At 35.5% G+C, this 24,794-nt stretch overlaps 1 protein-coding gene across 4 annotated transcripts in view; it reads left to right on the top strand.

Moving 5' to 3' along the window:
• The window catches only part of WDR49 (WD repeat domain 49), a 179,240-nt gene that overhangs the window by 9,113 nt on the left and 145,333 nt on the right, over positions 1-24,794 (top strand). For 3 of the 4 annotated variants that reach the window (NM_001348951.2, NM_001348952.2, NM_001366157.1), the window contains exon 3: positions 21,519-21,959. The exons of the other annotated variant lie outside the window; for it this stretch is intronic. In NM_001348951.2, the coding sequence (NP_001335880.1) occupies positions 21,519-21,959 (441 nt within the window). The remainder of the gene's footprint in view (positions 1-21,518; positions 21,960-24,794) is intronic. 4 annotated transcript variants of the gene reach the window in all.

The raw sequence follows: 24,794 nt of genomic DNA, 5'->3' as shown, positions 1-24,794 counted from the left end.
CAGGTCTCAGGCTGTCCCCACCTTCCGCCTTCTACACAAGCCATACATCAGCTGGTAGCAGTGGAGAGCACTAGGGAATGTTTTCTGTGGTCCAGCTCACATCCCATTGGCCAGCACTCAGTCATATGGCTACAGGTAACTTCAAGTTACTTCAAGTCGTATGGCAAGTAGGGACAGCTGTGTGCCCAGATAATGATCTCACCCATGGTCCTCTTAGAATTTTGTGGGAGGAAAATTTCCTTCTCTCCTAATGAACCAGCATGCTTCAGTTTGTAAATTATGGAGACCTTTGTGTCTAATTGTATTTTGTGTTCTGTCTTAGCTGCCAGGAAGTTCAAAGCTAAATTTAGTGTTCAACTCTTACAACTATGCTTAACTTAGGTTTTCTGGGACAATAATCTGCTATTTTATTATATAATTCTTGTTCTTTTATCTTTGTTTTAATAGTCGGTCCTATTGCCTATGTATCTTCTGTTGTAACTGAACTAAAATTCTTTCTGGAAATCAGTGTAGGTAAAAATGATGAATAAAAATTGAATACCTTTCAAGTATAGTAAGATTTTATAAAGCACTTATGTTGGCATCATGTTATTTGATCCTTTACCAGCCTGAAACATAGGCACGGCATAAATTTTTACTTCCCATTTACAAATAAGGAGATGAAGGACTAAAAATATTCAATTGAATTCTCCCATGGGCAGAGCCAGAACTCAGAGGCAGATTGTCAACTTTGGAGTCCATATATGGCATGATTTCCACTGGCCACAAGATAACCTTCCTTTGGCATGTTGCTCTAAGGAACATGAATCCAACAGGATAAAGATTTCCTAAACAAAATGCATGTTAAGTTAATAGTGCACAGGCCCTGTGCTCTGCTAACTTGGAACTAACGCATAATCAGCAAATAATCAACAACTGCTACAATGAAATCAAGGTAGAGAAAGGGTGGAAGAATGAAAAGAAGATAATAACCAATTGCTTTTTTGAAAAATATTTTTTTCTTTCTAAAGGCATCTCAGTGGAGACTTGTGAGAAGGTAAACAGGTGAAGCTTAGTCTCACCTGTATATAGTAAAAAGTGCATTCTGCAGCCTCAGTCAATTCATCATCTGCTGAACAAAGACAGCAGGTCATACCATTTCTCACGCATTGCTCTTAGTGCAATCAAAATACCTATTTTTAATGGCAGCAGAAAACATTAAGGTGATAGCATGAAGACAAATCCAATACTACTGCAGTTGGCACAATTAGAAATGGCAGAGGAATTCTGTGGTGGTTTTATCTGATTTGTTAAAATTCATGAATAATGCTAGCAAATGGCGTCATCACCAAAACTCAAGGAAGTGAAGTTGTATCTCACTACAAATGAAAAATTTGCCTTCCAAATCCTGCTGCCTTTGTGCTGATTTTTGTGACAAGTTCTAACAGCTTCCTGCCTTTTCAAACTCTCTGTGTACTTTTACAACAGGCACTTACAAAAATTAATCTGGATCAGTGTGTGATGAAGAGTGCCTTTAGTAAACAAGTGGTTTAACCTTGAGTGTTGGCCAAAACTGGAGAAGTGAAGACAACCAAGAAAAGCTTGTTACAGAGGAGGGAGGGAGAAAGAAAGCAAAGATGTCTACTGCTGTTCATGTGTAGTGCATCAGCTTAGCCAGACTTGTGAACTAAGGGCACTGCTACTTTTGAAATTTTCCTGAGAGTTAAACAAGAAAAATGAATAAAAGAATGAAAGAACCATTATTTGTGGCATTTTGGTTTCAATTTGTCACATTTTGCCAAGTATAACGTATTAATGATGACACAAGACACCCTCACTCTATTGCTAGAAATAGGAATCCTCTAAACTGTCCCTTAGTGATTTCTGACCGTTTCCCAAGGCTCTACCTCATACTTGTGCAAGAAAAAGCCCCTTGGGGTCTTTTCTCCCTTCATCATGTCTCACCAACGTTCTATGGATGTGACTATTATGAAATCCTGATTCTCTAGGCACCGACATCTCTGTGGAGGCATTACCAGAGACATTATGTTCCTCTACTGCTTCACTTCCCATGTGTGCATGTGTACACCTTTCTCTAATCTTCTCAATAGACCCAAGGCCAAATTATCACACTAGTTTTGCTACAGATGTGTACTCTTCAATATGTGCTACATTTGGTTATTTAAATAAAGTAAGAATTTCATAAAATAAAGTTCAGTTCCTCACAAGCACCAGCCATTTCAAGTACGCAGTAGCTACTATACTGGACTGCAAAGAATATAGAACATTTTCATCATTGCAGAAAGTTCCATTGGACAATGCTGCTTCGAACCCTTTCTCATGACTTCGTACTAACTTGTTCTGCTTCCTCACTTCTGGACATATATTTGTGGCAAGGAGCTACTCTCAGCTCCTCAATCCCACTATAAACACATCAGACTGCCCATGTCTTAGAACCCAGAGGCCAAACTGATCCTTGGCCCCAGAGATAGCAGAAAATATTTCTCTTCACTCTAGTCTAAGACCTATTTTTCCATGTTCCCTTCCTAGGACTGTAAAGAATGGGAAGATCTATTCCTTTCAGGGGAATCCTTCCTTCTTCCTTCTGGTGCAACTCCCCTCCTCTCAACTCCCAACACACACACAGGTGTTTAGTCTGGATTTATGGTTCCAATGAGTCCATCACAAAATTATCTGACCTGGGCCATTACCCAAAGAGTTTCAGTCATGCTGATCATATTTTACTTACTCCTGTTTTAGGGCCTACCAGATGCTGGTGCCTCAGTTTGGAATATTTCTCTCCCATCCCCAACAATTTCCTGGCCAACTCCTACTCACATGTGTGTAAATACCACTGCCTTAGGAAAGCCTTTTCTTACCATGCAGGCGGGATTAGCGCCCTACAATGACCCTGTTTTCTCTTCTCATAGCTTCCTATATGTTCCTTTGGTTGCTTTCATCATAGATGCTCTGATTAACGCAATGCCATTATTTGTTTAAAGTCAAATAGAAGTCCCAGGCAGGCTATGAGAGACAAAATTGAGTGTGAGAGAATCGCAACATAGATTCTGGAGGAGAGAGGCCATGAGATGAGATATCTGTAGGAGAGAACAGACTGTTTAAGACTGGACCTTACAAAATTCTTCAAGGTGGTGGAGAAACAACTGGAGTTGGTACAAGAAATAAAGCAGCTGAGTTATTTTCCAGAAGTAGAAGGAGAAGAAGCAAACAAACAAAAAAGGAGGGTATAGCCAGCCATATAAAATTTCATTTATTTTTATGATTCCTATTTAGCAATCCTTGTATTATTAAAATAAATAAGACTGGGCATGGTGACTCACGCCTGTAATCCCAGAACTTTGGGAGGCCAAGGCGGGCACAACTACTTGAGGTCAGGAGTTCAAGACTAGCTTGGCCAACATGGTAAAATCCCATCTCTACAAAAATACGAAAACTAGCCAGGCATTATGGCAGGTGTCTGTAATCCCAGCTACTCGGGAGGCTGAGGGGGGAGAATTGCTTGAACCCGGGAGGTGAAGGTTGCAGTGAGCTGAGATTGCACCACTGCACTTCAGCCTGGGTGACTGAGCGAAACTCAATCTCAAAACTAAAAATAAATAAATAAATAAATTAAATTAAATAAATAAAAGTAACATTATTCTCATGGTAAAAAATCCAAGCTAAACATGAAATTTCCCCCTTAGCATGGTCCATTCTCAGTCATTATACTCCCCTGGGTAACTACTCTTAATATTTTCTGGTGTATTTTAAGTGCATTTTTATCCATATATACACATATACATATCTCATGTAGCTTTTTTAATGTAGAATATATTTACATATATTATATTTTATGTATTCAAGAAAGAATGCTACATAAATAGCTTCTAATCATGTGAAAAGGCACCCAAACTTGTTAAGAATTTGATTTGATACTCTAATCAGAAAGAAGACGTTCTTTTTATAATCATCAGATTGGCAAATATTAAAAAGATCAATAACATTCACTGATGGTGAAGAACCAAGGGAATAGGCACTCTTACTAAGATTGTAAATTGACAAAGCTTTTCTGGAAGGCAATTTGCCTTTATATATCAAATATAAAATGTACCACATGTATACTTTTTAATCAGCAATTCTAATCCTCCAAGCTTCCCTAAATACATTCTGAAGTACAGAAAAAAATACATGCAAAAATATGATTGTAATATCACTTACAAACTGGAGTATTTATAACCCAAATATTCATCAACTGGATGAATGGATAAGTAAATTGTGGTATACTCCTATTACTCAGTTATTAAAAAGAATAAGGAAGACTTATGTAAGATTGCCCAAGATTTGATGTTCAGTGAAAACAAGAAAATCACAGAATAATGCATAATCATATTCTAAAATAAAAAATGTACATATTTATGTGGTGTAGAGGTTATAGAAAAAGAGAACTGTGATTGTAGTGGGGCAAGTTATAGCAAATGGGTTTGTGGGCACCTTATCTATACCATAATTCAATGCAAACATAAATGTTCTTAAAATGCTGGCATGTCTTCATAACCTAAAGACTCTGGGGTACTATTTCTAAATGTATGTCTAGTAATGCTGAAATTAAGAGTGCTGAATTTAAAAGCAGTGCCTTTTATAGATACTATGTCCTTATACTCAGAGCATTAATTTCCTTCCATTGAATTTTAGCATTAAGAGAGAGAACATAGAGAACCACTCTACTGTCTTTATTTTACAGGTGATGAAGAGAAATCCAAAAAAAAAAAAAAAAGGTGGGGATTGGGGGGAATTTGTCATTTTCTATTGAGTGATTTGCAGAGCCAGAACATTGTCCAACATGATCTGGTAGCCAGTTTTTGTTTCTTTTCTCTAGTGAACAATTTAATTCTATTTTGACTTATTTATAATTTCCCAAAGTTATTTTATACATTATTATTCTATAATCTTGGCCATCATTCACTATTATGATCCCCTCCCCAAACTTGCTATTATCAGTAAAATAGATGAATATCTCTTCCTCAATATAGAAGAGAATATTTACAATATATTTATCATTTACTCATTCTTACAACAGGTATTTATTGAATGTCTACCCTGTGTCAGTTAAAATCTGCTTAGACATAGGCCTTCCTTTATGGAGGGCTATATTTTAAGTAAACTTCCCTAGGAACAAAGGCATCCTTCTAGATAACCATAATGCCATTTTTGTACACAGGAAATTCAACTTTATACATTACCTAATGAAAAGGTTGATATTAAAATGTCCCCTTTCGTCCCAGTAATGTCTTTTATATAAAATCACAGATCCAATACAGAATTATACATTTGCTTTAGTTGACACATCTCTTTCATCTGTTTAGTTTCCTTTAATCTTGAGGAGTCCCCCACTTTTTCTTGTCTTTCATGACATAAACATTTTTGAAGAATTCATGCCAGTTACTTAGAACATCCCATTATCTGGATTTTCTGATTGATTCTTTACTGTTAGATTCATCTTCACCATTTTTGGAAAGAATACTGCGTAGTTATCTCCACCTCTTGTAAGGCATCGAGAGTCCCATTATGTCAATTTGTCCCATTACTGGTGATGCTATACGTTGGGTCCCTTGATTGAAGTGGATCCACCAGAGTTACCCATTGTAAAGGAACTTGTGGGCTGATAGTTTTATACTATATTGTGAGTATTCTTCAACAAGATTTCATCCATTGGTTTGACTATTGATTGATTATCTTTGCTGGAAACAATGACTCTACTGGTGGTTGAAAAATGGTGATTTTTAAATGCTATTGATTCTTACTCATTTTCAGTATGGCATTTTTCTTTCTGTAAGAGAGAGTCTTCGGCCCCTCTTCTCTTTCACCCTCTCATTCTCTCTCTCTGCCTTGAGTCTGACCACAGATTTATGGCTTCGTTTATTCTATTCAATGTGCTGTTTTCTATTATGGTCATTATTTTATGATACTCAAAATGCCCCAAATTTGTCTAGTGTGAGACCCCTTCAAGCCAGCCCTTGTATCCTTTTAACATATTTTCATCAATCTGTTATTACTGCTTTGCTTTCTGGCACAAGATGATGTGCCCAAGACCTGGAACCAGCCATTTCTCCAGGGATCCCCAGTTCCATTTATTGGAGAATGGTATTGAGAATAACAGGATCTGGGTAGTAGTGTGTTCATTGCTATTAGGGGTGTCATTGCTTCCAGGTACTTTCAGTTGACATAGCTAGGATATATCTATACCTATCTAAATCAATATTTATATTTATTGATCTATACATATTTTTAAAACTAATGAACTTATACTAATACTTCCAATTCAATTCAAATACCACAGGGTTCTTCCCCTCCGTCACTCCATATTTGTATCATTTGTATTTCCATGCTCTCACATTTTGAACCTTTGTTCTAGCAGCACTAATATATTTATTTGTATGCTTTATTCTGTAATGTATATGAAATAGTTTTGGAACTATTATATTAACACTACTCTAAAAATGAAAGTAAAATTCAAGACTTATTTGCAGTTTTTTTGCATTATATTGCATTACAGGTACATGGGTTAGAGAACTGGGCTTATAGATATTAAAATTAATTTCTCTTACTGTGTGGTTGTGTAAGCTTGTTACATGGTTAGGTTAGTATATATACATATTAAATTTTAGAGTTTAAAAAATCTTTGTTTTGATTTTATCTTGTTGACTATATGAAACATTTTTATAGTTCTCAAGTCAAAACAGTATAAAAATGCATACTTAGGAAAATTTTACTCTCTTCCCTATCCTTTTCTTCCCATCCTCTCATTCTGTCTTGATAACAATTTTCATTAACTTCTGAACATTTTATTCTGTGGTTTTGTTTTTTAAATACATGTATGTCTATGTGTATTTTTTTTACCTTTTTTTCTCTCTCACATAAACATAGCATACGTTTATTCTCTGTGGCATTTTAATTGTATTTGATTAACAATGTATCTCTATATAAGTTGATAGAGAGTATTTTCATTTGTTTAACAGCTGTATTATACTCTTTTGTTAAATGTAGTTTGGTTCATTCAACCTCTGTCATATTCTTGGACCTGTAGGCTGTGTTTTCCCCCAGTGTTTAATTCTGAAAATATTTAAATCTAAAGAAAAGAGGAAAAAAGATTATTTTTGAGGGAAAATGAATTGTTATTTAACATGTTGATTTGAACTATCTACATAGGACTTCCAAGTTAATATATCCAGAAGAGAAATAGGATATAAAGGTTTAGTGCTCAGAAGAGAGGTCTAGATAAAGATATTTCTTTGGGCATTCTCAGCAATTAGACCATGTTTGAAGCCTAAGAAATTGGGTCATATAAATCAGCTAGGGTATATGATGTGAGAAGAGAACAGGTCAGAGGGCCAAAAGCTAAGATATACCAATATCTCATCTTATCTTATCTTCATCTTATCTTTCTGTAAGTACCACAGAAAAAGTGGTACTTACAAGAGATACTGAGAAGGAGTGATCAGAAGTGTTGCTGAGAAACACAGTGTAATGTAAACCAAGGAAAGCAAATGTTCTTAGAAGTAGGGAAGAGTCAACAGAGGCAAATTCTGCAGAGACACATCATAAAAACACATAACTCATGGGTGGGAGCCTTCCAGACTTGGAGATATGGAATCATTGGCTCGAACCCTTATGCCATAATATTGGAAATCCAAAGCCCTTTCCAAATTTCTGCAAATGTAAAATCACCTCTGCCTGCCCTCCATTGCAGCTGCCATCTCTGTTCTCTATCAGATTAACACATGCCTGAGACTCAGCTCCTTATGTAGTTATTCAGGACTTTCCATTCAGTAAGCATTTACAAGTCGAGTAGATGCAACCGAAGGTTTTTGGGAAGTAGGTGTATGGGTTGGAGTGAGAAATATGTCAGAAACACACAGACACTTCCATTATTAAAATAATTTTAGCCATATTGCCTGTGGGGTTTTCTCGATGGCACTTTATTACCATGCAACCCTCTGCCATCTTGGAGTCTCCCATCCTTTCCACCTCCCATTTCAACCACCATTTCCTTCTCTCTCCCTCTGTGTAATCGAATAAAAAAATCAATAAAAACAAATACCAAATTATTTTCCTCTTTTTTACAGCAGCTTGATCCCTGTTCTTTCTTGATTGGGGTCTTGCACATAACTCAGATTTCATTTTCCAACTAAACGGGAATCTCAAGGTATTTTCTCAAACAAAGATATTTTGGCACCAAACATTAACTTGGTACATTTTCACTTTTATCAGATGAGAACCAGAAAAAAATGTATTGAAATGTTTAGCCACAGGATTTTTGGTCTTCTTGTTACGAGCAGCTTCAGTGGAACTGCTGGATTGCAACAGGTTAAGTAAGCTGGAGGTGAAGAAATTGAGACAATGTGAGAACATGATTGTTTCAAGTTGGCTGTGAAAGAAGGATGAGACAGTAGCAAAAAACAGATGGCAATGTCAACGGAAGATGGTTAATAATTCGAATGACTTGATCATGTTTAAATGCTGATGAAAAGGAGTCAATAGAGAACAAGAGAGAATAACAATAGAAGAGATTCTCGAGGTGGTGGGAGAAGGTTGTATCCAGAACACAGAAGTTCTGCTGTCACAGGGGAGAAGGAGATGGCTGCAGATATAGGTCATTATATATGCGGGTGCAAAAACATTGAGGACATTTCTATCTAATTGATTCCTCCATTTCTTTCTCCCCCTTTTCATTCTCTTTCTTTCGTTCCTTTTCCTTGTGAGTTAGGAGTCAAATTTCTTTATTAGGAAGGGAAGGGAAATAATAAAGTAGGAGTTTGAAAGAAGCAGAGAATCAGAGTGAGAGTTCAGCAAGAAAACATGGAAGGATTCCTAGTAGTATAGAGGGACATTTGAGGTTGGAGATCATGTATTTTGTTGTGGTGACATCATTCTGCCCTGTCCATTAGTGTTCAGCAGCCTAGGTATAGGCACAGAGAGGATGCTTTTCCAATGCTGTGTTTTGCCAGATATCTGGGATGAAAGGATGGCAGAACAAAAGAATGAAGATAATTACCAGAGATTGGTTGAAGTTGGATCTTTGGTTTGAGAAGGATGTGACAGCAAGAAAGAGCTGACAGTTTGGTGAAAATTTCCCCTCAGAACCTGGATTAGAGTCTTTCTGACTTTTTATGTTTATCTTATCGATTCAAAGTTTATATGTGAAAAGTAAGTATATCATTATAAAGCTTTAGGCTTCTAAATAGATAGCTTTTATCAAAACAGTATGAGATTATTTGGGAGTATACATTCCAATCTCATATTTTTCTGGTTTGTTGATGACCATGTTATCCTAAAGAAAATCAGATTTTGTTGAAGCCAATATATTTGAATTGTGGTAAAAGTGGTTAAGAATTGGAAATTTTTGGTTCTAGGCCTATTTCTGCTAATAGTGAACTATGTGACCTCAGAGAAGTCTTTTCTTAATAAGCCTGAACATCAGTTTCTTCCTTTTAAATGAAGGGTTTGGTGTAGATTCTCTAAACTTTCTTCTAGCTCCAACATGGTATTAATCTATGATCCTATGGATGCATAAACTTCTTTGCCATAATCATGGTCTCCAACAAAGGAACAGCAATTTAAAAAAGTATATATTTGTATTGCTACAGTGAGATTTCCAAATGAAAATCAATGAAGCTCAGTTCTCTGTTGGCTGCACTATTTCACTGGTCAGGCTTATTCCCCCAAGTTTCTAGCCTAGGCACAAAAGCTGATAGTGATAAGCATCACTTTAGAAGTATAGCAGATATTGAAGAATTTCACAGACTTAGAGAAAATTAATAAGAACAATTATATTTCTCAGGGGTGATGATCATCTTTATTTAAAAGAGAAAGATTTATTGATTTTTTGCCCACTTCAGCTTCAATTCCCTTCTAATTCACCAGCTGGATAGGAAATCGAAATGTTGAATTTTTGGCTTGTGAGAGTTTGGTTCCAAACCTTAAATTCAGTCAAGGTCTGTGTCTTTGTTAGTTACAAAACTTTAACTTTATTCAAATTGATGAGCTCTTGAATAATTGATAATATAGTATAAATGAAAATTAAATTCTACTAAAATCTATTGAAGCAAGAAAAAAAGAGCGCTATGGACCTTGACTAGCAGAGTAATTTCCCCTGTTCTGTTGTTCACTTTCTCATAAATGTTCATTAGTAGGTAAAAATTGCAGGGGATGATATAAACTGATGCATCTGTTTTGCAATAACATATCTAATCTTCTGCTCCAGGAGACGTTCACAGAATTTGACAGCAAAACCTAATACATATTCATAACCAATATGCTTTGTAACCAAGGGAAATTGAGGCAAGTACAACAGAATGAAGCATGAGAAACCAGCATGTTAATTTTAAATTTAATTATAGTTATAGGGGAAAAGGCTGCATTTTGATAGTGTATACTCATTCAGCTGTCATGGAACATTAAAGAAAAATCATGCCAAATGTCTGACAAAAGAAATATCAATTTTGGTGAAGTGGTTGATAAAACTAGCAGGTTATGAAGAAAATAAAATTTTGAGATTCAATTATGAGCAATTTTTCATGTAGAGAAAAAAGCATTGCAGGATTCTAATGATCTGAAATAAAATCAGACAACTTCAAAATTATGGAAAGTTATCTAGTCCATACAAGATACCTTTTAATGGAATGTTTCAGCATGCTTAAAGGCTATATTCCATTTAAAATTAGGAAAAACAAGTTAATGTGATGCTTATTACTTTCTTATTACTTTCAATAACCTAAAAACATGTGTTATTAGTAACCAGCACACCTAGTCTCTACACTGAAGTGTACATATTCAAAGAGCATTGATCTTGTTGTCTTGTTCAAAGTAATTGGTAAAGAGGAAGTCAAACTGTTGCTGTTTGCTGATGATATGACTCTATACCTAGAAAACACTAAAGGCTACTCCAAAAAGCTCCTGGAACTGATAAAAGAATTCAGCAAAATTTCCAGATACAAAATTAATCAGTAGCACTTCTATACACCAAAAGCAACCAAGCAGAGAATCAAATCAAGAACTTAACTCCTTTTACAATAACTGCAAAAGAAAGAATAAAATACTTAGGAACATACCTAACCAAGGAGGTGAGGTGAAAGACTTCTACAGGGAAAACTACAAAACACTGCTGAAAGAAATCATAGATGACAAACAAATGGAAACACATCCCATGCTCATGGATGGGTAGAAGTAATATTGTGAAAATGACCATACTGCCAAAAGCAATCTACAAATTCAGAGCAATTCCTATCAAAATACCACCACTATTCTTCACAAAACTAGGAAAAACAATCCTAAAATTAATATGGAACCAAAAAAGAGCCCACATAGCCAAAGCAAGACTAAGCAAAAAGAACAAATCTGGAGGCATCACATTACCTGATTTCAAACTATACTTTAAGGCCATAGTCACCAAAACAGCATGGTACTTGTATAAAAATAGGCACATAGACCAACAGAACAGAATAGATAACCCAGAAATAAAGACAAATACTTACAGCCAACTGATCTTCAATTAAGCAAACAAAAACATAAAGTGGGGAAAGAACACCCTATTCAACAAATGGTGCTGGGATAATTGGCAAGCCACATGTAGGAGAATGAAACTGGGTTCTCATGTCTCACCTTATACAAAAATCAACTGAAGATGGATCAAAGACTTAAATCTAAGACCTGAAACTATAAAAATTCTAGAACATAACATTGGAAAAACCATTCTAGAGGTTGGCTTAGGCAAGGATTTCATGACCAAGAACCTAAAAGCAAATGCAATAAAAGCAAAGATAAATAGCTGGACTTAATTAAACTAAAGAGCTTTTGCATAACAAAAGGAACAGTCAGCAGAGTAAACAGACAACTCACAGGGTAGGAGGAAATCTTCACACTTTATACACCTGACAAAGGGCTAATGTCCAGAATCTACAATGAACTCAAACAAATTAGCAAGAAAAAAAGAAACAATCCCATCAAAAAGCGGGCTAAGGACATGAATAGAAAATTCTCAAAAGAAGATATACAAATGGCTAACAATCATATGAAAAAATGCTCAACATTACTAATGATCAGGAGAATGCAAATCAAAACCACAATGTGATACCACCTTACTCCTGCAGAATGACCATAATCAAAAAATCAAAAACTAATACATGTTGGCATGGATGTAGTGAAAAGGTGACCCTTCTACATTGCTGGTGGGAATGCAAACTAGTACAACCACTGTGAAAAACAGTGTGGAGATTCTTTAAAGAACTAAAAGTAAAACTAGCATTTGATCCAGCAATCCCACTACTGGATATCTACCCAGAGGAAAAGAAGTCATTATACCAAAAAGATATTGCCCACACGTTTATAGCATCACAATTTGAAATTGTGAAAATGTGGAAGTCACCCAAATGCCCATCAATCAACAAGTGGATAAAGAAACTGTGGTATATATATATACATGTATATACATATATATACGTATATATACAACAGAATACTACTCAGCCATAAAAAGGAATGAATTAATGATATTTGCAGCAACCTCAGTGTAACTGGAGACTATTATTCTAAGTGAAGTAACTCAGGAATAGAAAACCAAACATCGTATTTCTCACTCATAAGTGGAAGCTAAGTTATGAGGATGCAAAGGCGTAAGAATGATACAATGAACTTTGGGGACTCAGGGAAAAATAGTGGGAAGGGGTTGAGGAATGAAAGACTATAAATTGGGTTCAGTGTATATTGCTCAGGTGATGGGTGCACCAAAATCTCACAAATCACCACTAAAAAACTTACTCATGTAACCAAATACCACCTCTTTCCAAAAAACCTATGGAAATAAAAAAAAATTTTTTTAATTTAGTGGTGAGTGCTTAGAATAATGTTTGGCATGGAACAGACACTTAATAAACATTTGTTGACTGAACAAATACGTATACCTAACTGGTGCTGTTTTATATGGTATACATCTTTAATATGTATTTATTAATGAGTAGATCAATGGGTGGAAGGATGGATGGACCTATTTCTCCCAGTGGCTTACAACTCATCATTTGACATTTATTTTCAGGATCTGGAAACAAATACTCACCAATGACTTAAGGGCAGTAAACCTCGGGTCAGTGAAATGCTAACCCACTGCCAACCTTTGACAGAGGAGAAAATACCCAGACCAAGTTGGATTGTCCTCTCTCAGTAGTGTTAAACTGGGACTTTTATCTTGTCTTGGTCAAGTTCTTATTTGCAGAGTAGGAGAAAAGAAAGTATTTCTTTCCTCATTTCATTATGAAGTATGCTATTGGAAAGAGGGCACAAAAATATAAACAACATTTCTAAGGGTTGGCAGATTTTGAAAAATAAAATGTCTGCTTTAGAAATATATTTTTCCTCCTGAAAGTATGTAATATTTAGGCTTATTACTAATAGAACTATACTTTAGCAACCAATCGATAAGTCTTAAGAAGAATAATACCCCACCTTTATTAGGGTCTTGAGTACAGGCAACCTCCTACTTTATTGATGGGAATGTAAATTTATTTAACCTTTTAGAAGAGAATTTGGCAAAATATATAAAAACAATTTTCAGGACATGTAAATTCTTTGATTCAGTAATTATGCTTCTAGAGAATTTCCCTTAGGAAATAATTGGACAGCTTAGCAATGATGTGTATGTAGGAATATATATATGTTGCTGGGTTGTTTATATAAAACTGTAAAGCCTTGGGAATAATTGAAATTTTTAATAATGGGGTTATAAATAATTGTATGTCTTCTCTATAAAATATTGTGCAGCCATTAAAAATTGTAATAAAGACCAATATATAAGAGGCATAGCTTTATGGTATGATATAAGTGGAAAAAGCAACATAGAAAGATATGTATGTATATCATGACACTATTTTGTAAATAATAACTGGTCGTTTCTGTTTCTGCCTAGAAATAAATCTGAAAGGCTGATGGCATTATAAATGATTTTAATTTTTAACTTATCTTCATTTTCTATAATAAGCATGGATTCTTTTGTGCAACAAATAAACATTTGTAAAAGTATGTTGGCACACTCACATGTTGCCAATGGCACACGATCTCTTCTTAATGACAAAAATGCCTGTCAAGTTTCAAGGTTTTTTTTTAAAGTTTTGCACTTAGGGTTAGAGCTCAGTTTTCATATAAGTTATGGTTAAATCCAAATCTTACAAAGCTCAGAGCTAAAGGAAATTTTAGAGTTTATGCTTTTTCTAAATAGACAGGCAGCTCACTAGAACTGACTGTAACTGAAAAACATGCTTTTTAGGCAAAAGGAAATGATTTTCAGAATATTCTTTGAAAAGAATTCAGGAAGACAGGAACATTTTCAAAAGGTCTAAAGTTGTGCCTAGTGATATAATCAGCTGGACATACTGAGTATATTAGCTTTCTGGCTCTTGCAACAACAATTGTAGACAATTTAATAACTGGTTATTTTCTTAGCAGTTAAATAGATGTAGCAAAATAAATGTAGCAAAACATTGTACTAGGAAGAGCTGAATGAGATTATGTTTTCTAATGGCTCATATAATTTTCACCTTTATTAGAAGAGGAGTTCTAACAGAGGCATGAGTACTAATTATTACCTCAAAAAGACCATATAGATAATATAGATTAATAAGAATCAAAGGACATATCTTTAAAACACTATTAAGCAGTTTTTATTTGAAAGTCTACATTTGAATGGGAACACATTGTTTACTGGAATAATAAAGGTTTTATTAAAGCCATAGTAATTAAACTTTTCATTGAAGGAAATGAAAATGAGAATTATTTTATGCTCTATGTTTTATAATGAAGTAAAATTTCCGAAATTCCCAGTATTTCCCTATCTATATTAAGTGTATACTTGTGAATTCATACTGTTGTACATGTGTCAACAATAATTAATGCTTGAATAGAGTTGCCTAATGTAAAGAAGATGGCCTTCATACAGACAATCTTATTGGTACTTCATGCAAACCCTGAGAGAGGTCATGACTGGCTTAAGGGAATACAAATGTTATGTGTCAAACCCAGGCATAAAACCCAGACATTAACTAAATTAGCACTAATTTAAAGATGTGTGTCTATGTATGTATATGTATGTATATCCCTAAAGATAGCTCAATGGTAAATTATTTCGCCATTCAGTATTGAATCTAATGAAAACTAAGAATTTGTAGCAACTAAATGATGCTATACGCAAGTTCATTTTTTAGATTGAAAGGTTATCTTTGCTTTCTTTCTGTGGAATTACTTTCTGCCAAGTCCAGGATGGGGATATTTGGCTCACAGAGCAGCACTACGAGTGGCTAAAGACAAGACAGAAGCTGGGATTACTCACATGGATGAAATGTCGCTCTTGTATATGTGAAAGAGCCATGGTTCTGGGAACAGGTAAACTTTACTTTCACCAGGCTCACTTAGGACAGCTTTCTATTTGTGCCTTTGAGGAAGAGCAGCTGAAACAGTTTGAATAGTTGTTTCTTTTTAAGACAAAAACTAGCATCTGCTGCTATGATGGTAATAGTCATAGAAGCAGAGGATTTCAGACCATTCTGCTGGTACAGTCTCCTGCACCTATTCTCTGGGTCCCTAAGAAATCTCTAAGAACTATCTAGTTAGCAACTAGCCACCCTGGTAGAGATCACTAATATTAATAATTATGAACACCTCCAAAACCTTACACACACACACACACACACACACACACACACGAGTTTGGCTAAATTCTCAGAAAACCGTCATTGCTGACATGATGACTCAATTTATAATTCTTCTATTCTCTAAACCCTTCAGCAAAGCATTGACATTTATTGAGTATAAATGTGCCATCCACACATTAAATTATCCCATGTGCCATATGTACATTAAATTATGAATAGATCCTCATAACAGCACTAGGAATTTGTTATTATTATTCCTATTTAGAGGTGCCATAATTGGGGCTAAGACTTAGAGCTCCACCTTCTTCACTACCACACAATTTCCCAACCACAGTGTATGATATATATAGTAGGATGAGATGAATGAATTAATTCTAGTTCCAGAGGGTGGGAGTCACTGATAAAGCAAGAATTAATTGTGTGGTAAAAGTTAATGCATTTGTGCTTTTAAGCTTGTATAAAAGATCAATTACCTTAATTGTACATTTAACTAATTTATTCAAGTTGGCATATGATAGAATTAATAACGTATTAATCAAAACATCATGCTTCTTGAAAAAAGTTAGGATTTTTTAGTAAAAACAAACTACTAGATTTTAACTGGAGGTATGGCAAAAACATAGTTTCATTTTCAAACTTAACAAGCTAATGGGTGAACAATTGGTAACAGAACTGCCAGGGATATCATACAATTGTACTTTTTGGGTCAAATTTCATAACCTAGGCATATTTCTTGTCTCTTTCCCCAGTGGATATTGGTATTATCAATGTGTAGAAAAGTATGTAGTTCATTGCTTATATCACTTTGGAAAAGAAAATTTGTCATTTACAATTTGTTTCTAATACTACATTCTTAAATGTAAAAAAGAAGTTGTTTTGATATTTGTCCGAGTAGTTTCTTGTTCTTAGAAATAAAAAATAAACTACCAGCTCATAGGAAGAAAATATAGAGATCCTGCTTTTAAATGTTGTTTTATTGACGAGACAATCTAAGAGATTGATTGATGCCATTATGTAATAGTTTAAAATAAAAATCAACATTGCCTTAGTTTTCAGAAATAGTTTGCAGTTTTGACACAGATGGAGCACTTTTAGGACCAGGTTTCTTTCTCTACTCTTAAAATCTGGATCACTAAAAAATGTCCAGCTATCTAAACATTTAATAACTGAACAAAGATAAGAATAATTAACTCCTGGCTGGTTCAAAGGGCTCGATATCAATTATTTTTCAGAAAGTTATTTTAATTAGTTAAGTGCCCGGACTAACCTCCATTAAACTAACCTCTGTTATTTCAGCTAATCTTCATAACAGTTTTCTTGCAACTGATACTGCTTTACCTACTTTACAGATGTGAAATTATGGCTTAGCAGTGAAGTACCTTGCCAGTAGTTCTCACGATCTCTGGTGGAACCAGGCTTAAACCTACATTGGTTTGACCTGCTCCACAATATGCTGACTCTAGTGCTTCTTCCAGGCCTGACTCTCGCTTCGATGTGGTGGGAAAAGTTTATTCTCTCATAATGAATCTCACTGAACTAAACAGCCCATCAACGTGAAGCTAAATATTTGCTTGAAATACAGTTAATCTTCATTATTTGTGAGTTTTATACTTGCAAATTTGCCTACTTCCTAAAATTTATTCATCCCCAAATCAATACTCGTGGCACTTCAATGGTCCTTCTCAGACATGTGCAGAGTGGCAAAAAATTTGAGTCTCCCAATGTGTACATTCCAAGCAGAATCAAACAAGGCAACACTCTGCTTTCTTGTTTCAGCTCTCATATTGTAAACAAGCGTCCTTTTTGACATCTCTTTTTTAAATTATTTATTTATTTTTTACCATATGGCAATTTCTTTTTTCTTTTTTTATTCATTACACTTTAAGTTCTAGGGTACACGTGCACAACGTGCGGGTTTGATATGTAGGTATACATGTGCCATGTTGGTTTGCTGCACCCATCAACTCATCATTTACATTAGGTTATTTCTCCTAACGCTATCCCTCCCCCAGCTCCCCACCCCCTGACAGGCCCCGGTGTGTGATGTTCCCCACCCTGTGTCCAAGTGATCTCATTGTTTTTAACATCTCTTTAGTGCCACGTTTTTCACATGTTGTGCTTATTGTTGCGGATTTCGCTGTTTAAAATGGCCCCCAAGTGTGGTGGTGGAGTGCTGGCTAGCGTTCCTAAGCCTAAGAAGGCTGTGATATGTCTTACTGAGAAGATACATGTGTTAGCTTCATTCAGGCACGAGTTGTGATGCTGTTGACTATGAATTTAATTGTGATTAATTAACAATATATTAAATAAGATGTCTTTCAACAGAAACACACATAAAACAAAATTATGCAGTGAGCAGTTGTGCAGAGGTTTGCAGAAACTTAACCCTGTGTTTCCCGTAGGAACAATGGTTCAGTATCTGCTAATTTAGTGTTCTCAGAGAGTTTACAGAATATAGCTACCACGAACAGCAAGAATCAATTGCATGTGGCTTCACTGTTCTTTGTTATGGCATATGTATAGAAGTTAAATTATTGCCCTTTGATTAAAGTTTCACCATGGGGTAATTTTACTGGCTTCACTAAGCACTCTTCAGGGATTCACTCAATTTTCATCAACCACTTGACAGGCATACCTCGGAGATATTGCGGATTTGGTTCCAGACCACTGCAGTAAAGTGGGTATCAGGATAAAGTGAGTCACACACATTTCTTGGTTTCCTAGAGCAAATAAAAGATAAATATTTAAGCTATACTGTAGGGTATTAAATGTCCAATAGCACATATCTAAAAAAGTGTACATATCTTAATTAAAAAATACTTTATTGCTAAAAAATATTAACAATCATCTGAGCCTTTGGCGAGAGGTAATGTTTTTGTTAGTGAAGGGTCTTGCTTTGATGTTGATGTCTGCTGACTGATCAGGGTGGTGGTTGCTGACGATTGAGACGGCTGTGGCAATTTTGTTAAAGAAGATAACAGTGAAGTTTCCCACATTGATGGATTCTTCCTTTCATGAAAGATTTCTCTGTAGCATGAGATCTATTTCACAGTGTTTTACTCACAATAGAATTTCTTTCAAAATTGAAGTCAATACTCTCAAAACTTGCCACTGCTTTATCAACTAAGTTTATTTAATAGTCTACATCTTTGTTGTCATTCAACCATGTGTATAGCATCTTCAACGGGAATAGATTCCATCTCAAGAAACAACTTTCTTTGCTCATCTATAAGAAGCAACCCCACATCCATTTAAGTTTGATCATGAGATTGCAGCAATTCAATCACATCTTCAGGCTCCACTTCTAATTCGAGTTCTCTTGTCATTTCTACCACATCCGCAGTTACTTTCTTCATCTAAGTTTTGAACCCCTCAAAGTCTTCCATGAGGGTTGGAATCAACTTTTTCCCAAACTCCTGTTAATTTTGACATTTTGACTTCCTCCCATGAATTATGAATATTCTTAATGGCATCTAAAATGATGCCATTCTAATGAATCCTTTCCAAAAGGTTTTTAATTTACTTTGCTCACATCCACCAGAGGAATCATTGTCTATGGCAGCTATACCATATAAAAGATATTTTTTAAATAATCAGAATTGAAGGCTGGAAGTTATTTCTTAATCTATGGGCTGCAGTATGTACACTGTGTTAGCAGGCATAAAAACAATATTAATCCCCTTGTACATCTCCGTTGGAGCTCTTGAGCCACCAGGGACATGGTGGAGCAGTACCCTTTTAAAAGGAATATTTTTTCAAAGCAGTACGTCTTAGCAGTGGGCTTCATTAAACCACACTGTATATTCAGTAAACCATGTATATTCAATAAACCATGCTGTAAACAGATGTGCTGTAATTCAGGCTTTGTTATTTCACTTATAGAGCACAGAAACAGGATCTTGCTCTGTTGCCCAGGCTGGAGTGCAGTGGCACAATCATAGCTCACTGCAGCCTCTATCTCCCAGGCTTAAGTGACACCCCTACCTCAGCTTCCCAAGTAACTAAGACTACAGGCTCACGATGCCCAACTCATTTCTTTTATTTTTTGTAGAGATGGAGTCTCACTATGTTGCTCAGTCTTTTCTCAAACTCTGGGCTCAAGCAATCCTCCCCTTCAGTCTCCCAAAGTTCTGGGATTATAGGCATGAGCCACTGTGCCCAGCCAGATTTAGCATAATTCTAAAAGCCTCAGAGATTTTTGGGAATAATAAATGAGCATTGGTTTCAGCTTAAACTCACCAGTTACATCAGCCCCTAACAAGAGAGTCAGTCTGCCATTTGAAGCTTTGAAGCCAGGCATGACTTTTTCTCTCAGCTACGAAAGTCCTAAATGGCATCTTCTTCCAAATAGGGCTGTTTCATTTACATTGAAAACGTATTGTTTAGTGTAGCCACCTTCATCAGTTATCTTAGCTAGAGATTATAGATAACTTGCTGCAGCTTCCACATCAGCAGTTTCTGCTTCATGTTGCACTTTTATGTTGTGGAGATGACTTCTTTTTTTCAAACCTCATGAATCAATCTCTGCTAGCTTTCAGCTTTTCATCTGAAAGTTCCTTACCTCTCTCTGCCTTCAAAAAACTAAGGAAAGTTAGGGCCTTGCTCTGTATTAGGTTTTGGCTTAAAGGAATGTTGTGCCTGGTTTGATCTTCTATCCAGACCACTAAAACTTTCTTCACAGCAGCAGTAAGGCTGTCTAACTTTCATATCATTAACGTGTTCAAAGGAATAGCACTTTTCCTTCAAGAACTTTTCCTTTACATTCATAACTTGGCTGTTTTGTGCAAGAAGCCTAGTTTTCAGCCTCTCTCAGCTTTTGACATGCATTCCCCATTAAGCCTAATCATTTTTAGCTTTTGATTTAAAGTGAGAGACGTGAAACTCTGACTTTACTTAAACATTTGGAGGCCATTATAGGGTTATTAGTTGGCTTAATTTCAATATTTTTGTGTCTCAAAAAATAGGGAGGCCCAAGGAAAGGGAGAGGGAAAGCAGAATGACTGATTGGTGCAGCAATCAGAACATACACAACACTCATGAATTAAGTTTGCTGTCTTGTATGGGTGTGGTTCATGGTGCCCCAAAACAATTACAGTAGTAACATCAAAGATTGGTTACTGATCACAGATCACCATAACAGATATAATAATAATAACAATAAAGTTTTAAATATTATAAGAATTACCAGAATGTGACACAGGGATACGAAGTAGGGATGCTATTGAAAAAATGGCACTGATAGACTTGCAAGGTTGCCACAAACCTTCAATTTGTAAAAATCACAATATCGGCAAAGTACAATAAAGCAAAATACAACAAAAGGAGATATGCCTGTACTAATTTCCTGTTGCTGCTGTAACTAATTACCAAAAACCATGACTTAAAACACACAAATATATTAATATACAGTTCTGGAGTTCAGAAGCCCCAAATGGGTTTTACAGGGATAAAATCAAGTTGTCAGGATTGTCTTTCTTCTGCAGGTTCTAGGGGAGAACCTTTCCTTGCCTTTTCTAGCTTAAATAGAGGTAACCTGAATTCTTTGGCTCGCAGCCTCACATCATTCCATGCTTCTATCATCACATATTCTCCTGCCTTACTCTTCCCGATACAAGGACTTTTGTGATTGACTTTTTGTGATTGAGAATGTCAGTTTCTAGTCCTGTCAGTTACTTGCTCCCCAGTTTAAGTTCACTTGAGTATATTACTGTTATGAAGCAAAAAATATTTTTCTTTTCATGTTGGCAGAATTGCTGATTAAATTCACCTTTGTGGGTAGCACAGTTCTCTCATGCATATGATGATTTCACTGTTGTCTCATTATTGTTTTTGGATTCCTGTTTCTAGTCCCCACAGCCAAGGAAAATCATTTGTATGTCCAGAGAAGACTTCACGCAGAAGATGACAGAGATTGTTGGTTGGGGCACGAAGGAAGAATATGGGGAGCTCTTTGACAAAGTGGATGTGGCCCAAGATGGCTTCATTAATTGGGACAAGCTGACTTCATTTATACTGCTAGAGCTTTATGAGCAAGATGAACGAGCAAAGGCAACTGTGGTGCCCCAGTGGAAGGACCTTGAATTCCTCCCAGTAAAACACAAGGACACCATTCAAAAAGTAATTTTCTTAAAAAATTCAAGTCATTATCTGACAATTAGTAAAGAAGGTTTATTGGCAATCTGGGGAGAGCATTTAAAGCTGCAAGAAACATTCCCCATCACTTCAGATGCCACCAAGCTCAAACACCTGTGGGTGACAAGTCTGGTTTCTCTGGAAAATGTAAACAAGGTACAGACTCTTTATAAAAAAATGTACTGCTTGTAAAAGAGGGAAAACTTATGGGGCAGGGCTCCTGGCTAGCAGTAACAGAAAGCTGCATTACTCTTGGTGGCTTTCTCCTGACCTGGAGGGAGAACAGGTAGTGCCAGCTGTTTTCTTGGGTGCCTTGTAATGACACTGTGGCTGATGACTCAGATTCCTGGCTCTGTCTTCAATGAGGCCATGCTTCATTATTAGCTTATAAGGACTTTACTCCTGTATAGTTTACAGCAGGACTGTGGATCTGTATGTGGAGCTGAGAGGCTATTATAGTGCATGGCAAGATTCAATGGATTTAAGGGGAACTGCTTATCTAATTTTGATCACTGTGCTAGTCAGTGTCTTCATTCTAATAGATAGGGCCCACTCAGTCTAAACATCTTCATATACCAATACCTCTCAGAAAGATAACATACTGTAAGTAAAATAATTTTGATGGGGAAGGTTGGAGCTTGAAGTATCCATATTGGTAATAATTTATATGAAGCAGATGGTAGATTTTACTATGAAAATTTTCAAATGCACCCACAAGCAGAGAGAATAGTATTAGAAACCTGATGTACCTAGTATTCAATCATTTTCAATTCACGGCTAATCTTGTTTCATCTATACCTCCCCCTTAAGATCAAAAACATCATATTATTTTATCTGTAAATATTTCTGTATTTCTAAAAGATGTCTCTATTTTAGCATAGCCAAAATACCTCTACCACACTTAATATCCATAGCAATATTTTCTTAATATCATGAAATATCCAGTCATGTACATATTTTCCTGATTGTCTTATTAATAGTTTGTTTCAACGAAGATCTGAATAAGGTCCAAACATCGTGAATGGTTAATATGTCTCTTTTGATATACATGCTTTTCTTTGTTCCTAATTTTTTTTTTTTTTTTGCAAATTTTGGCTGTTGCTGTTGATGTTTTTGTTAAAGAAACCAAGGTTTGTCCTTTAGAATTTTCCACACTCTGGATTTTACAGATTGTGTCTACATGGTGTTGTTTAATATGTCCAGCCATTCCCTGATTTTTCTAGTGAATTGGTGGTCAAGTGTAAAGCCTTGCATCGTTTCAGAGTGGTTAGTTTGTTTAGAATAGGTGGTTATGTTTTCTTCAGTCAGTAGGTATTAAATACCTGGTTCTTCCTCTTCCTGAGATGTTAGCAGTTGTTGCTGATTATTCCTAGATCCATGAATTTTTTAGGGGTCAGAAGATGATATTCTAATTTCACAATTTCCTTTTCCTTTAAGCTAGAATACCTCTATAAGAAAGAAATAAACCCATTAATTTTTCAGTTATCAAGTGGTACAAATTAAGGGCAGAATACATGCCTAATTTTTCACTTTTGTTTGCCAGTTTTCAAAATAATGAGCTGGTTTTCTAATATTCTCTAAAGATAAACAATGAGTACTATTATTATTATTATCAGTATAATTGAAAAATAATGGGTTTAAAATTTTTTATTTGTTTTAATCTACTGAGTTGTTATCCCATACCAAAAATTGTACCCTCTTTAGAGAGTGGGAACAATGCAAGTCGGCTTCTGAGTCTTTTTATACTCCTGACAGTGCTTGAAAGCTTCTTTGTTTCGTGGTATGACAAAATGTTCCAGAATCATCTTGTATATTTCCTATGCCAGACCTAAAATCAGCATTTCTCCAAAAAGGCAAGTTATTTTTAGTGGGAAAATGTATGCTCTATTGTTTGGAACCATAGATCATTCTCATCCTCAGTAGCTTCCTATGCCCTAATCTATTCATCCTCTCAAAATCACCATGGAGTAGATATTATTCCCACTTTACAAATGAAAGACTGAGCAAAGAGAAGTTGTGTAATTTGCCCTCAGTCACCCAGGATGTAATCAGGGTTGCCAAGATTTGTAAACTGAGGCAGCCCAACTTCAGGCCTATGCTTCAGTCTTTGCTGCCTTCACAGTGGCTGCTGACATTGGATCCAGTTCCTTTTTGCCAAGTATCTGGAGCTAATATTTAACTTGTATGAATTAAAAGATAGTTCTAGTCCAGATGATTTTTTTATATCTATGTGCAGTATTCTGTTATTTTCATATAATATTTGTTTTGCACTGTTTCTTCTTTTCAGCACTGAACTAAAATCTTAGCCTTTCTTTTGTGCTTACTCAATATAGAATCTTAAAGAATGTTGCTTTTTTCTTTTTAAAATAGGTTTATTGAAATATAATTATACAAAATATACTGCACATATGAAAGTGTCCCAAGCTGATAGATTTTAACACATACATGACCTGTGAAAAATCAAAAGTACAAAGAAGACAATGAACATATTAATCACCCTCAAAAATTTCCTAGCAGTGTTTTGTAACTCCCACAATCCCTTTTTATGTTAAGCAAGCACTGATCTGCTTTTGGTCACTATAGATTAATTTGGATTTTCTAGAGTTTTGTATAATTGGTACCATACTGTGTGTACTCCTTTTTTTCTTTTCTTTTTTTTTTTACCATGGCATAACTATTTTGAGAATTATCCACGTTTTGAGGTATACTACTAGTTTTTTTTATTGCTCTGCAGCCTTCCATTTTGTGCATATAGCCTCACAAACATTTGGTATGATCAGTAATTTTTTCTCTTAATTTTAGCCATTTTAAAAGGCCTGCATTTATATCTTATTGTGGCTTTAATTCATATTTACCTAGTAGCTAATAATGTTAAGCATAGTTTCATGTGCTGGTTTGCTACCTGTACATCTTCTTTTGTAAAATGTCTATCCAAATCTTTTCCCATTTTTTATTAGGATTGTTATCTTATTGAGTTTCGAGAGTTTTTAT

This window comes from Homo sapiens, chromosome 3 (genome assembly GCF_000001405.40).
Source record: "Homo sapiens chromosome 3, GRCh38.p14 Primary Assembly".
NCBI classification, from domain to species: Eukaryota; Metazoa; Chordata; class Mammalia; order Primates; family Hominidae; genus Homo; species Homo sapiens.
The sequence above is the reverse complement of the archived record's forward strand: the minus strand, read 5'-3'. Positions and strand labels throughout refer to the sequence as shown.